Source organism: Homo sapiens, chromosome 15 (genome assembly GCF_000001405.40).
Source record: "Homo sapiens chromosome 15, GRCh38.p14 Primary Assembly".
Lineage (NCBI taxonomy): Eukaryota > Metazoa > Chordata > Mammalia > Primates > Hominidae > Homo > Homo sapiens.
The window spans coordinates 84,045,495-84,061,067 of NC_000015.10; the positions used below are offsets into that span (position 1 = coordinate 84,045,495).

General features: G+C 37.1%; 1 pseudogene; it reads right to left on the minus strand.

Annotated features, from left to right (window-relative positions):
- LOC642677 (stabilizer of axonemal microtubules 2 pseudogene) lies at positions 7,501-8,563 on the minus strand (annotated as a pseudogene).

Consider the following 15,573-nt stretch of genomic DNA (forward strand, 5'->3'; position numbering starts at 1 on the left):
ATACAGCATGGAATACTATGCAGCCATAAAAAAGGATGAGTTCATGTCCTTTGCAGGGACATGGATGAAGCTGGAAACCATCATTCTCAGCAAACTATCACAAGGACAAAAAACCAAACGTCGCATGTTCTCACTCATAGGTGGGAATTGAACAATGAGAACACATGGACACAGGAAGGGGAGCATCACACACCGGGGCCTGTTGTGGGGTGGGGGGAGGTGGGAGGGATAGCATTAGGAGATATACCTAATGTTAAATGATGAATTAATGGGTGCAGCACACCAACACGACACATGTATACCTATGTAACTAACCTGCACGTTGTGCACATGTACCCTAAAACTTAAAGTATAATAAAGAAAAAAAATGTGTTAAAGTGTGCTTCTATTGAAACAGATCGTTTATTCAAAATAATAATTAGCAATAATATTTGATTATAAATAAATTAAGAAGAACAATAAAAGTTTTCATTTTATCTTCACTTATTCTTATTCCAATGCTCTTCCTTTCTTGATATACATCCAAGTTACTGACATGTATCATTTTCCTTCTTCCCAAGGAACTTTTCTTTAACATTTCTTTCAAGGCAGGTTTACTGGCAACGAATTCCCTCAATTTTTGTTTGAGAAAGTCTTTATTTCTCCTTCACTTATGAAGAGTAATTTCACAGAATATAGAATTCTAGGTTGGTGATGCTTTTTTTTCCCCTCTCTCAACACTTTAAATATTTCACTCCACTCTCCTCTCGCTTACGCAATTTCTGAGAAGTTAGATGTAATTCTTATCTTGACTTGTCTATAGGTAAGGTGGTTTTTTTTTTCTTCTGGGTTCCTTCAGAATATTCTCGTCATCTTTTAATTTTTTTTTCATAGTTTGTAACTTAGGTGGCTACATGTAGTTTTTCTGTAGGCATTTATCCTGCTTGATGTTTTCTGAGCTTCCTGGATCTGTGGTTTGGTGTCTCACATTGAGAGAAATTCTCAGCCATTATTGCTTCAACTATTTCTCCTGTTTCTTTCTCTTCTGCTTCTGGAATTCCCATCACATGTATGTTACATCTTTTGCAGTTGTCTCACAGTTCTTGCATACTCTGTATTTTTTTCAGTCTTTTTCTGCTTTTCAGTTTTGGTGATTTCCATGAGATATTCTCAAGCTCAGAGATGTCTTTCCTCAGCAGAATCCAGTTTACTAATAAGCCTGTCAAAGGCATTCTTCATTTTTGTTACAGTGTTTTTAATCTATAGCATTTCTTTTTGGTTCTTTCTTACAATTTCCATCTCTGATTAAACTGCCTATATATACAGAGCATATATACCAACCTGTGAATGCACACACACACACATCTATTTTTTTGTGTATCTATGAATTCATACTGAGACCCTGCACACTATTTCAACACCATAGGGTTCATTATAATCCGCATCTTTTTATTTTAAGTTCCGGGGTACATGTGCAGAATGTGCAGGTTTGTTACATAGGTAAACGTGTGCCATGGTGGTTTGCTGCACCTATCGACTCACCACCTAATTATTAAGCCCAGCCTGCATTAGCTCTTTTCCCTAATGCTCTCCCCCACCGCCTTCCCCTGACAGGCCCCAGTAAGTGTTGTTCCCCTCGGTGTCCATGTGTTTTCATTTTTCAGCTCCCACTTATGAGTGAGAACATGTAGTATTTGGTTTTATGTTCCTGCATTAGTTTGCTGAGGATAAGGACTTCCAGCTCCATCCATGGCCCTGCAAAGAACATGATCTCATTCCTTTTTATGGCTGCATAGTATTCCATGGTGTATATGTATGACATTTTCTTTATCCAGAGTATCATTGATGGGCATTTGGTTGATTCCATAACTTTGCTATTGTGAATGGTGCTGTCTGCATCTTTTTCTTATTTGTAACTTATTTCTCTGATAGAAGCCTGGCTCTCATTATTTACACTATATTTTCTCAGTTCAACCTTATTATACTCATAGTTTAGAATTGATAACACATACCTCTGTCAGAGAAAAAAATTAAAAACTAGAGTACAATGTTCATATACAATTATTTTTGTCTTTAGCTTTATAGTAGCCAATATGATCACTTGTCCAAAATCACTTAGGTAATCTCCTTTCTTCTCAATGCCACATCCTGGGTGTCAGTTTTCATAATTTACATACTGTAAAATTAACTTGGTGGTTTCTAATGGTTTTGACAAATGCAGAGTTGTATATCTACCACCAGTTTCTTAGTTCCACTCCACCCCACATTCTTTTGTCCTGCTTCTTTGTAGTCAATTGCTTCTACCCCCACCCCTAGCAATCACTTACTATTTTCTGTCCCTACAGTTTTGCCTTTTCCAGAAATTTATACAAATTGAATAATATAACATGTAGTCTTTTGGGTCTTGCTTTTTTCACTTACCAAAATACATTTAAGTTCCATGCATGCTGTTGGGTGAATCAACAAATGTTGAAACAACAAAATGTTGTTTGTTCCTTGAACTGGCTTTATATATGGATAGATGTTCACTCATTTACCAGTTGAAAGACCTGTGGGTTGTTTCCAGTTTGGGGTGATTATAGATAAAGTTCTATAAACGTTCATATACACATTTTTGCATAAACCTACATTTTCACTTCTCTTTGAAGAACACCTAGAGGTGAGTTTGCTGGGTCATATGATATGTGCATGTTTATAAGAAACTGTTAAACTGATTTCCAAAGTAGCTGTACCATTTTCATTCTAATGAACAATATGTGAGTGTTCCTGTTGTCCCAGACCCTTGCTAGTATGTGGTATTATCAGGTTGGTGTGTGCGGTGGTTTTTTTGTTTGTTTTTGTTTTTCTTTAAGCCATTCCAGTAGGTATGTAGTGGTACCTTAGTGCAGTTTTAATTTGAACTTCCATAATGACTATTGATGTTAAGCATCTTTTCATGTGCTTCTTCACTGTCTTTTCTGGTTGAATTGTGTCTCCTCCAAAAATGAAATTCTAACCCTCACTACCTATGAATATAATCTTATTGGAAAATGGGGTCATTGCAAAAGATCAAGTTAAGGTGAGGTTATCAGGATGGGCCTTAATACAATGTGACTGATGTCCTTATAAAAAGGGGAAATTTGGAAACAGACGCATGCACACAGGGAGGATGCTGTGTGAGGATAAAGACAGAGCTCTACAAGCCAAAGAACACCAAAGATCACCAGCAAACCACCAGAAGCTAGGACAAAAAAACAGAACCGATTTTCCCACACAGCCTCAAAACCAGCCCTGCCAACACCTTGATCTTGGGATCTGTGGTCTCTGGAACTGAGAGATAATACATTTCTATTGTTTAAGCCACCCTGTTTGTGTACTTTTCATAGTAGTCTTAGCAAATTAAGACACTATCTGTATATCTTTTTTGGTGAAGTATCTGTTTAGAACTTTTACCTATGTTTTTGTGGTTGGGTTTGGTTTGCTTTGGTTTTGCTATTGCTTGCTTACTGTCTGTAAGCAACTCCCAGCCACATTTCCTTCTTAGTCATTATAGTTCCATGATGGCTACAATTAAAGAAGTCTTGGCCACGTGCGGTGGCTCGCGCCTGTAATCCCAGCACTTTGGGAGGCCGAGGCAGTTGGATTGCTTGAGGCCAGGAGTTTGAGACCAGCCTGACCAACATGGCAAAACCCCATCTCTACTAACAGTACAAAAATTAGCCGAGCATGGTGGCATGCACCTGCAGTCCCAGCTACTTGGGGCTGAGGCAGGAGAATCGCTTGAACCCAAGAGGCAGAGGTTGCAGTGAACTGAGATCGCACCACTGCACTCCAGCCTGGGTGACACAGCAAGACTCCATCTCAAAAAAAAAAAAAAAAAGAAAAGAAAAAGAAGTTTTAACACAGATATTGGATGGGATGGAGAAATGCCCCTGGCCACCCTAGAGAGCATCTATCAAGCTGTGTGCTGTGTTTATGAGAAGGCTGGGGAGGGATAGTATTGATGAAAGTCCTGTGTCTGATACAGGGTGAAAATCTGCACTTGCATGCAAAAGAGCATTGAATGACAGGGAAAAAAAGCAAAAACCTGAACAAAATGAAAGAGTCCTGATGTTTCACTGGACACCGCAACCCTTTCAAAAGCATGTTATCAGCATGTTTTTAAACAGCGTTTTTGAAGTTACTCACTCATGATTGCAAGGTTCACTTCCTCGACTCTGTTTAACTTTCAGAGGTCTCCCCTCTGCTTCCTGAGTATCATGAGGATCTTCTCACACAGCGATTCTCAGAGAAGGCCTTAGATTATAGTTTTGTATAGAAGCAAACCTGCAAATGTGAGATATTCAGAAGCTGGGATGTGGGTTTCCCAGCCTCTGACTGAACACCTCCCTCCTGCCTTGAAGGGCTTTTAAGAAAACTTTCAAAATAGACTTTATTTATTTGAGCAGTTTTAGGTTCACAGCAAAACTGAGTGGAAAGTACAGAGTTCCTATATGCCCCTCCCCACACACATGCACAGCCTTCCTCACTATCAACACCCCCAGCCAGAGTGGTACATTTGTTATAGTTGAGGAACTTACATGGACACATTATCACTCAAAGTCCATAGTGTAGGTTAGGGTTCACTCCTTACATTGTCTGTGCAGTTTTTATAAATCATAAAGCCTTTATTTCTAATTTCAGTCTGTGGTCTCGTTTTACACAACAAGGGTTTCCAGAGAGATAGGGTGGGAATGGGATGGGGCTGGGGTAGAAATCTACCGACTTTTCTCTCTGAATTTTCCTCCTTTCTTCATTAGATTTATCCAAGTTTGGCGTAGTGGAATCTGGCAGATTGCTAAGTAATATTACTAGTTTCCAGCCCTGTTAAAATGTTTTTTTGTGTGTGTTCCTGCATAGTATTTCAAGGAGGCCTAACAGGAGAATGACTCAGGGATTGCTAGCTTTCCACCAACATAGCTTGGAAGTCCCTTTAACTCTTTCACAGAGATAGAGGGTCCCTCTGTAACTATTTTTATGCTGTTCCCACCTTCCCATTTTTCTTGATCTGGCAATTTCCTACTTATCTTTCAAGATTCAGCTCACCTGTCTATCCTCTCCCTAAGGCAGACTTTCCTGAACTCCTAGGCTGAATGTCTTACATTGTTCTCTGTTTCAATCTCTATTATTTTCACACCTGTTATACTGAGTGTTAGATTATGGGGAAATGCCATTATTCATCTTCAATCCTTATGATGGCAATTTGCCTCTGGAAACTCTAGTAGATGTCTTATTAAGGGTGACCTTTGTCCAGGGAGGAGACCACCCCCATTAAATTATGAAGGGATTTGAATATCCAGCATCGGAATATGGGACGGGATGACAGAGTGCTGTAGTATTTCCTTATTTTTAATTCTGGTTATACATTATTGTTTTGTATTTAAAAATAAGAACATCTACTTATGTATAGGTTAACCTAGACAGGACTTTATTAAAATGCTGTCTTTAAAAAAAAATAGGTACAGAAATCTTGAAAATCTGTTCCTTTTATTGATTTTATTAATGTTGCATAGAAATATAAAGTTTCACACACCATACTTTTACTAATAAATGTAAATAAGAACAAGTTACTTTTGAACAATTAAAATAACCAAATATTAATGATTTTCAATAAAATACATTTTAAAATAATTCTGAAGCCATAAAAGACTAAAATTCACTTTATGCTAAAATAAATCATATTCTCCCATAATGCAATTATTTAATTTTTTTAAAAAAAGAAACCACCCAATAAGAGTTTAATTCATTCAGAAATTTTTAGCATTTATAAATGCAATAGAGTGTTTCTACTATACTTACTGGCATCATTCTTTACCTTATCACTTATCTTCACACCGGAAGAGGTGAACCAGGTGATTATGCCCCCTGCTGGGGCTGGTTCTTCCTCTAAACAGTGACTTGGCCTGGCAATTAGGTGCAAAATTACCTACATTTACCCTAAAGATTTCTTCAGAGCTGTCAGTCTTCCTAAAACTACCCTAGCAAATAATACTTTTTCCTTTCTGCAAATACTGTTATTCAAACCACTGTATTTACCCCATTCCAAGCTTTCCATTCTCTGTTAAGAATTTCTCAGGTGCTCATGAAGTTTTAAAGGACAAGACTCCTCACATACTACTCATAGCTCAAAACAAATTAGGTTATTTTACAATCCTTGATACAGGCCAGAAAATGAGGATTGGGTAAGTAATTATCCTAATTTGAAAAGGAGAAAACAAGTACAAAAAGAGACTGAGTGATTTTTTTTAACAATCCCCTACATTTATACTTTTACTTTAAGGATTAAAATGTACCATATAGTCTGATGCTCAAAACAAACGTTTTTGAAAACAGACATCATTTTACAAACAAAGACACTGAGTCTCAGAGATATGAGTCACTGCCTAAGGTAGTACAAATAGAAATCTATATTATTAGAACTTGAACTTAGGCTGGGTATAGTGTCTCATGCCTGTAATCCCACTGCTTTGGGAAGCCAAGGCAGGATTCAAAAGCAGCCTGGCCAATATAGCAAGAACCTATCTCTACAAAGTATATTAAAAAAATAGCTGGGTGTGGTGGCACACCCTTGTAGTCCCAGCTACTTGGGAGGCTGAGGCAGGAGGATCACTTGAGCTCAGGAGGCTGAGGCTGCAGTAAGCCATGATCATGCCACTGGACTCCAGCATGGGTGACAGTGAGACCCTGTCTCTAAAAATAATAATAATTATTAGTCAGAACTTGAACTCAAGTCCTTCGATTCCCAGCACACAGAGCCTTTCCTTGCCACACCACAATGGCTCTTACTAACTTGAACATGGTGAGGAGCAGTGCAGCAGTCTGTATACCACCAACCAAAACTTGACTCAGTGGATGCTATGTAGATGCCGTGAAGTCTGAGTAAAATGAATCCTGTTGCCTTGGAAGAGGAATCCATGTATCATTTTCAATGTTGTTCTAGATAATCCTGATGTGCTTGATAAATGACAGCTGCTATGTGAATAACCATACAATTGCCATAATTATAAACAGAATTACAAATGATAGACTGGGGACAAGCTACTAAGCAGTATGTTGAGTATTAAAATGGTACGTATGGGAATCTATATTATTCAACCTTCCAAAATGCATATTAAAGAACAATCTTGGTTAAAATATCAATACAAAATGGTTTTAAGATTCTGATTTATGATACATTTTCCAATTTTCTTGTTTAAAAATATAAAAAATGATTTATTATATCGGCCGGGTGCAGTGGCTCATGCCTGTTAACCCAGCACTTTGGGAGGCCAAGGCGGGCAGATCACGAGGTCAGGAGATTGAGACCATCCTGGCTAACACAGTGAAACCCCATCTCTACTAAAAATACAAAAAATTAGCCGTGTGTGGTGGCGGGCACCTGTAGTCCCAGCTACTCGGGAGGCTGAGGCAGAAGAATGGCATGAACCCAGGAGGCGGAGCTTGCAGTGAGCTGAGATTGCACCACTGCACTCCAGCCTGGGCAACAGAGCGAGACTCCCTCTCAAAAACAAACAAACAAAAAAGATTTATTATATCATAAATTTTTTTCACTACAAAAATTGAGTTTTCTCTTGGAAAACCAACAACTTATTAGTAGCTTCCTTTTAAGCACAATTTGGTTATTAGAAGGCCTTCACTGCGGGAGTAATCTTGCAGAAGAATTTATGACCTTGGGAATTTGTATTTTCAAAAATATAACCTGGAGGAGAGGGATAGCTAGCTGGGCAAATTTCCTGTTTTTTCGGTGTGTACTCTACAGAGTACATGGTTACATCATCAAATGGAACAGAACTCTTAAAAGCAATATTTAAAGGTTTGCAACTCTCTGTTGGAATCAATTCATGTTGCAAATAGTGAGATCTGAAAGTGCTCAAACCATCAAATTTTCCAGATGGGTTGGGAATCTGCTGCTGCTTCTTAATAAGTCCTTGACGACAACTTTCCCATGCTGGAAAATCTTTCATGGTGCTTTTTCCTTGGAAAGGAAAACTGTTACTTCTTCTACGAGAAACTGGCCTGATGGGAACAACACGGTTGGCCTGATACGGAACATAGTCAAGATGGCTTGTGCTGTTTAACAGCATGCTACCTGTAGGAGGCACATACTCTGGTACTTTCTTGACCTCCGGTCGTGGGATTTCCCATGGTTGAAAACTTTCACGGAATTCAGTGCTTCCTTCAAACCGAGCATTCTGGGTCACTCTGGTGTGTACAGGTCTGCAGAGTTTTGCAGTTTCACCAAATAAGACCCCAAAAGTCATACCGGTGAGTTGTGAAATCCTCAAAGCGTTGGTCAGTTGGTTTGTAAACTTCTTTTGGCCTTTCAAACTTGAGTTCAAGCTGATGAGGTATATAATCAAGGCGATTACTTGTAATACCATTAAAAGGGGCTGTAGAACGTTTGACCACAGAGAAGGGTTTAAAGCTTTGCCTAGGCTTTATCTCCTGAGGAACAAAGTCATCCTGGAATGTAGTTGAATTTCCAAATTTCACAGTAGGGGGGTGGTAAGTTCGTTCTGGCTTATAAAGTTCACTTTTACGAAGGTCCCAAGCTTTATAATCGTCTTCAAAATTATATCAAAGCAAAAACAGTTTTAAATGCTGAAGAAAACAACCATCTTCTAAAAATCATAACTGACTTCTCTCATTGCCAAACATCTTTCCATTTCCTTTAGAAATCTAAACAATAGTATCAGAATACAGTTTCTCTGATTCCTTTCAGATTTGTTCTTTTTCTTCATTTCCACCTTCCTCTACCCATCTCCTCACTTTAATACATGTAACTTTCCACTTTCAGATTCATCTGATTACATAACAAAGGAAAAGCACATCTGAGCCTGATTGTGGATAGTTCTTGAAAGCCAAAAGGACTGTGTTGGAGGTGAGGACAGAGTTTAGGAGATTATGGTTGTATTCCTAGGAAGAGGTTGGGATTTTAATTACAACTCACAAAATGCTAAGGTACGTCTAAAAGCCAGGGCTTGAAATAAAATCAAGTGCCCTTCATGGGTGGGCAAAAGTAATACAGGTATTACTCCTTGCTTTGGAGAGACTCTTCAAAGGGGAGAAAAATTTAATTCTGGTATCCTCTAGGAAGCCTACAGAAAGAATTCCTTGAGCAAAGATACAGGGTAACTTGTGCTATCCCAGAAAGATCACTGGCTTCAACTTTCCCTCATGAAATGGACTTTAAGGCATTCCCAAAAGATAGAGGGCCATCTAGAGGCCAGAGGCCTTAACTGAATGTCTTCAGAGGTGTTTGAAATTGTAGAATTTCAAGTGACCATCAGAGCAGAGATCTGGGGTTTGGAAGTTAAATAACCTTAAGCTTACTTCCTGTAGTTTACCTAGACTGTGGAGCATTTTGGGTCACGCTAGTGTATACAGAATGATGACTTGTAACACCATTACAAGTTGGTAATGGTACACTTCACTAAAACTAAAATGTTTATATTTCAACTAAGGATTATTTGTGTTTTCTATTTCTCCATGAGGAAGATAGTAAGCTAGGAAATATCATAGAATAGACTTCACGCCAAAATATATATTTCTAAATACCAAAAGTTAATTTATAAAAGGTAGAAATTTATTACACAAGATAACGTACTAAAATCTGGACTAAAGTCTATGCAATATTTACAGGAAAGGCCAAACTTTGAAAACTTATTATGTGGATATCTTCTTTGAAGAGAAAAAATGCTTAGCCATTTTTGCCAAAATGGCCAAGTTTTGGACTAAATGATTAAGTTACTGATGTCTGGATGAGAGACTGCACCTGACTCAAGAATAGGCGACCTTTAGGCTAGCAGAGACCTTTAAGACAAACTGACAGAAAAGATGAGCTAGATCAAGCATTCTTATTCTTGTAAACCTAAAATTGAAAATAATGAGTGAGATAGAAATGGGAGAATTGAAAAGGATGCCAGGAAGTAGAGCTGAAGAACTATGGAAAGCTGAAGTTACATTCAAAACAGACCTTTAAAGAAACAGAAATGATAACTAGGCAGAGGTGGCCAGTTAGTAAAGCAGCAATCAGAGCAGATGAGTGAAGGGAAGTGAAGATGCTGTGAGAGAAATCATGTAGCTCATTGCGGAGATGAAGGGAAAAGCTCTTCCTTCAAGCTCCCTGGGCACCTGATAGCTTTCCATTTTCAGTTCACATGAAGCTTTACCAGAGCCTTTTTTTCTTGAGGTATCATGAGGGAATCTCTCTTCTTTGCAGACTAAAGTATAAAAGTATAACACTATTTTTCACTAACTAAAAGGAATCAGAGATGTTATCGAAGGTTTATAGTTCCACACAATCATATAGGGAGAATTCTTGCTACCACACAAGAGAAAAAAGATTTTCATTATAAGAGAGTAAACAGAAGAGAATATTTCTCCCTCACCAAACCAGCTTTGGTTTTCAAAATGGAAGCAAGAATTTGGACACTGAGAGATGGATGTGATAGCATACAATAGTATGAATGTAAGTTCTACATAATTGCAGAAAATTGATTTTCTCCCTATAAATATGCCTATGCTCATATGCCTGGAATATTTATTATCTGTTATGGAATATTTGATAACATTCTAGCAGCATCTTTAAAACATCATAATCTTTATCATCTGTTTTTAGTGTTTTATGATACTTATGGAAAAAACAAACAAGAAAACAAACAATGCTGTCCACGTCTAAAAATACAGTTTGGTTATGTGGCAGCTCCACTATTGCCCTTGTTAGATGTTTCCTCAGCTCACTTTTTATGTCTAGCCACTAAAATCTGGATAGAAAGTTTATTCTCTTCTGAACAGGTTTAAGTCCAAGAAGTGTCTGAATGCACTTGCCCACTATTTGTATACACAGCTCCAACCCCATTTTAATATAGTGAGCTGTTCTAGGTTCTTCTTTGAGGACAAAAGTCTTGAGTTGCTTATGCTAGCTCTTTTTCCTGGTACTTGGGACTGCTCCCTGTGGTGTCTTGTGGTACCAAGGAATTGGAAACTACTTTTAGAAAGTCAGGGGACATCATCCTTGGCCTCAGCTTTTTCAATCTACATATCACCAATCTACTCCCATGGTTTTAATACTACCTGTAAGGTGGTGACTCCCAAACTTGAATCTCTACTTCAGACCTCCCTTCAAACACCAACCCACATATTTATCCACCTACTAGACATCTTTATTTGGATGTCCCTCAGATAAATGAAAACTTAGCATGCCCCAATTAATTATCTCACTCAGACTCACGTTCCCCAGAAAATAACATACCTACAAAGTTTCTGTTGTGAATTTGGCAAGTCAGGCTAAGGTTCCGTTTAATTGACTTTTTCTCCCTCATTTCCTTCTCTCCTTTTCAAGTAGTTTTCAAATACTGTTGATATTACCTTCTAAATATTAATGTCTTCCTTCTTGAAGCAAACATGGAATGAATGGCAACCTGATAAAATTGTCAAAAATAAGAAAAAGAAAAAAGAAGAGGCCACAATGTAAAATAAACGTCTATAAGGTCTGTAGTGCTATTCTCTTTCATTCTTGATATTTGTAATTGGTGTCTTCTCTCTTTTGGTTTATCAACTTTATTATCTTTTAATAGAACCAATTTTTGGTTTCATTGTTTTTCTGTTTTCAAATTTATTGATTGCTGCTGTTATCCTCATTTATTTCCTTCTACTTTGCTTTGGATTTAATTTGCTCTTATTTTTCTAGTTTCATACAATGAAGGTTTAGACTGTTGATTTAAGACTTTCTTTTCTAATATGAACCTTAAATGCTATAAATTTTCCTCAAAGTATTGCTTTAGATGCATCTCTCAGATTTTGGTATACTATATTTTCATTAAATTCAAAATACTTTCTAATTTCTTTTACTTTTGCTTAAAACCATTCGTTATTTAGAAATTTGCTGTGTAATTTCCAAATATTGGGGGATTTTCCCACTTTTTTTCTATTATTGATGTTTAATTCAATTCTGTTATGATCAAAACCACACATTGCATGCTTTCAATTCTTTTATATTTGTTAAGGTTTGTTTTATGGCTCCGAATATAGTTTATCTGAATGAACATTTCATGTGCACTTGAAAAGAATGTGTATTCTGTTATTGTTGACAGAAGTGCTTTGCAAATGTCAATTTGGACAACTGTTGATAGTGTTTTTCAGGTCTTTATATCCTTATTCATTTCCTGTCTATATTCTATAGATTACTTAAAGAGAGTGTTGAAGTCTCCAACTACAAATGCATGTTTTTACATTTCTTATGTTAGTACTATAAGTTTATGTTTTGTGTATTTGAAGCTCAAGTGTTAAGGGCATACACATTTAGAATTTTGTGTTTGGGAAATGGAGGGTGAGTGTGTGGTGGTTTCTCTGTTGTCCTGGTTCAGCTTCAGTCTTAGGCAGTCCCTGTGCCCCCGGGCCTCAGAAGCAGGGCTCTCTCAGTGCACCTGCTCCTTCACTTGATGTAGTAGGTCTCTAATTGTTGGTCCCGAGACAGTTTCCTGTTCTTTCTTCATGTTCAAGGTTTGGTTTTATTTTGCTTCTTGTTGTTGTTTTTCCTTTATCTTTCCTCAAGGTACAATACATCTTCAGCTATTCATTGGGGTTGTCAGAGTGATGTCTCTCCCGCAGTGGATTAATGCTTTTGTTCTGTAGGTTAGAGTCATTCAAATGGAGCTTCCTGCTATTTTTTTCTTTCGCAACAACAACCATTCTTCTCTCCATGCCCGCACTACAAAGGAAACTTTCTGTGGCCTCCAGCCTTTCTCCCAATCTTTCTGATGATCACAGAGTGAACATCCATAGGGAAGAGTCTATGAGTGGTTTTGAACTCCCCCTTTAGTGTCTGAAGTTCTCAGAGCTTCTATACTCTCACAGTAGTTCACACTCAAGTCTTTAGCAACTAAAGATGTAAATGAATTATTTTATCCACTTTTGTAACAGCTAGTCTTCATTCCATGCCCTGCTTTGGGTGAAACAGTGCTTGCCTCCTGTCTCAACTGGGTGGAAGTTGTTTTTCCTTAATGTCAGGCTAATTGGTTAACCTGTGATCTCAGGTTTCTAAAGGATTCATACACATTTATGATTTTGTAGATTATCTGGCTTTTTCTTATTGTTATGTTGGGGACATAATCTTTCTGACTTCCTGCATCCTACACAGAATCTGAAAATTCTGGAATTCTTTATGGTGAGGTTTAAAATTACACCTTCAATTCTACAAATTCAATTTCCTTTACAGATATAGGGCTATTTTGAATTTTTATTTCTTCTTGGGTTACTTTTGGTAAATTGCATTTTTCAAAAAATTTATCCATTTTATGTAAGTTGTAAATTATTGGCATATTTTTAAAAATAATATCTTTTTAATGTGTGAAAAATCACTCTTTGAGTTTTAATCAAAATATTTTGTTCATTTACACTTAATGTAATGATCTAGCTGGGCTTAAGTTGACTGTATTGCTATTTGCTTTTGATTTTTCCCTTCTTTGTTCCCATACCCCTTATTTCCTGCCTTCTTTTGTATTACTAAATGGCATTTTTATTATTCTACTTTACTATTAGAATTTTATCTTTCTATGTTTTAAAAATAAAAATGAATTTTTGACTTGTCATGAGATTTTTCTGGCTCAAACTTAAATGGACATTTTTACCACGTCTACCATGGAAGAACCTGTAAGCAATTTAATTCTATTTAACTCCTCTTGCCTTTTGTGCCACTGTTCTAACATATTTTACTTTCATATTTGTGTAAAAACATAATATAGTAATTTTGACTTCCAGTTGTCAATATTCTTTTATATTTACCCACATATTTACCCTTTCTGTGTGCTTCATTCCTTCCTGCATTTCATGCTTCTATCTGGAGTAAGTTTCCTTTTAACTAAACAATTCCCTTTAATACATTTGTAGTAGGCATCTCAGCTTTTTCTTTTTTGTCTGAAAACATTTTTACTTTGCTTAAATTTTTAAAGGGCATTTTTGCTAGATATATAATTCTCAGATTTGCTGGCTTTAAAATTCTAGATCCTTCTGGCACCTTTAGCACTTTTAAAGTGTCATTTCACTGTCATTTAACTTCCAGAGCTTCTGTTGAAAAGTCATGTATCATTCTGTTTAAAAGTCAGATATAACTTTTTCTTTTTGTAGATAACGTATAGTTTTTCACTTGCTACTTTTAAGACTTTATCTTTACCTGGTTTTCCGAAGTTTGACAATAGTTGTCTAGGGTGGTTTCCTATGTGTTTATTTTGGAGTTTGCTGAGCTTCTTGAATCTGTGGGCTGATTCTTTCATCAATTTTGGAAAAGTCTTGACCATTATCTCTTCAAATATTTCCTGGTTCTTCATAGGCCTCATAACATTTTACTATATGCTAGATGTTGTGTATAAGAGAATCATAAAAACTAAAATCAGTGTTATTTTCAACAGAGACAATTTGTTCTTTCCTATGGTAAAATACAGGGCAGATCACCTCATTCTTACCAGAGTCTGAGCTAGATTAGGGCTCAATGGCACCTTTAGTTAGACATAGTCTTACTCTAGTTTCAAATGTCTCAAGAACAAGGCTTGAGGTGTGTTTGTAGTAAGGCCCTCATTCTAGTGGAACTCTCTTCTAAGCATTTACTCTCAAATAAGACTGTGGGATATTCCTGTGGGATTTTTCTGGCCCAGCCTCTCAGCACACCACACTCCCTTCCCTGCAAACACGCAGTGAATGTCTCACATTGAAAACCAGCCATGTATCTAGGGCTCTTCTAGATTTCAGTTAGTCCTATCAGCCCACATTCAAGTGTTCCACTGCTTTCTCTTTCCCCTACTAGAGTTTCTCTGCTTATGCCAAGCTCAATCCTCAGCATAGGCCTAGACTTGACAAGTGTTCCCAGAGAAGTAAATGGCTGGCCATATCAACTCACTGAGGAAGGGCTCCTATCTCTCTGAAGTTTTAGTTTTTTGCTTCTACAGCTGTCTGGTGCCCTTAAAAGAAGATTTTTAAAAATCTATACTTATGTCAAGCCCCTCAGCCTGGCAATCAAGGTTCTTCCCAAACTGATCTCAGTCTACCTTTATAGAATTACACCCCAATCTCTCATCCCTGAAACCTTCTGGTCCTCACCATGTGTACTGAATAACTTTTATTTTTTGGTTCTATGCTTTTTTACTCATTTCATACCAGTTTTTAGAAAGTTCCTCCTGTTTCTATATGTCAGTACTTACTAGTCTCTGATGCATTCCCAGCCTGGCCTGAAGTGATAACTCACCAAGTATAAATTCTTGAAGTACTGTTTGTTCCACTAATTTTCCAGTGAATTATGTCTTCCCCTCATGATATCTCATATAGTATGGCAACTTCATTTTTCATGCTATTGTTTTTTTAAATTCACAATTATAAAGTTTCTTTTTATATAGTCCATATTTTATTTTTAAATAAAAATTGTATATATTTAAGATTTACATGAGGTTTTATATATACACACACAGTAAAATGATTACTAAAGTGAAAAACATATCCATCTCCTCACAGTCACCTTTGTGTGTGTATGCATGTGTGTGCATGTGTGTGGTGAGAGCACCTGAAATATACTCTCAGCAGATTTCC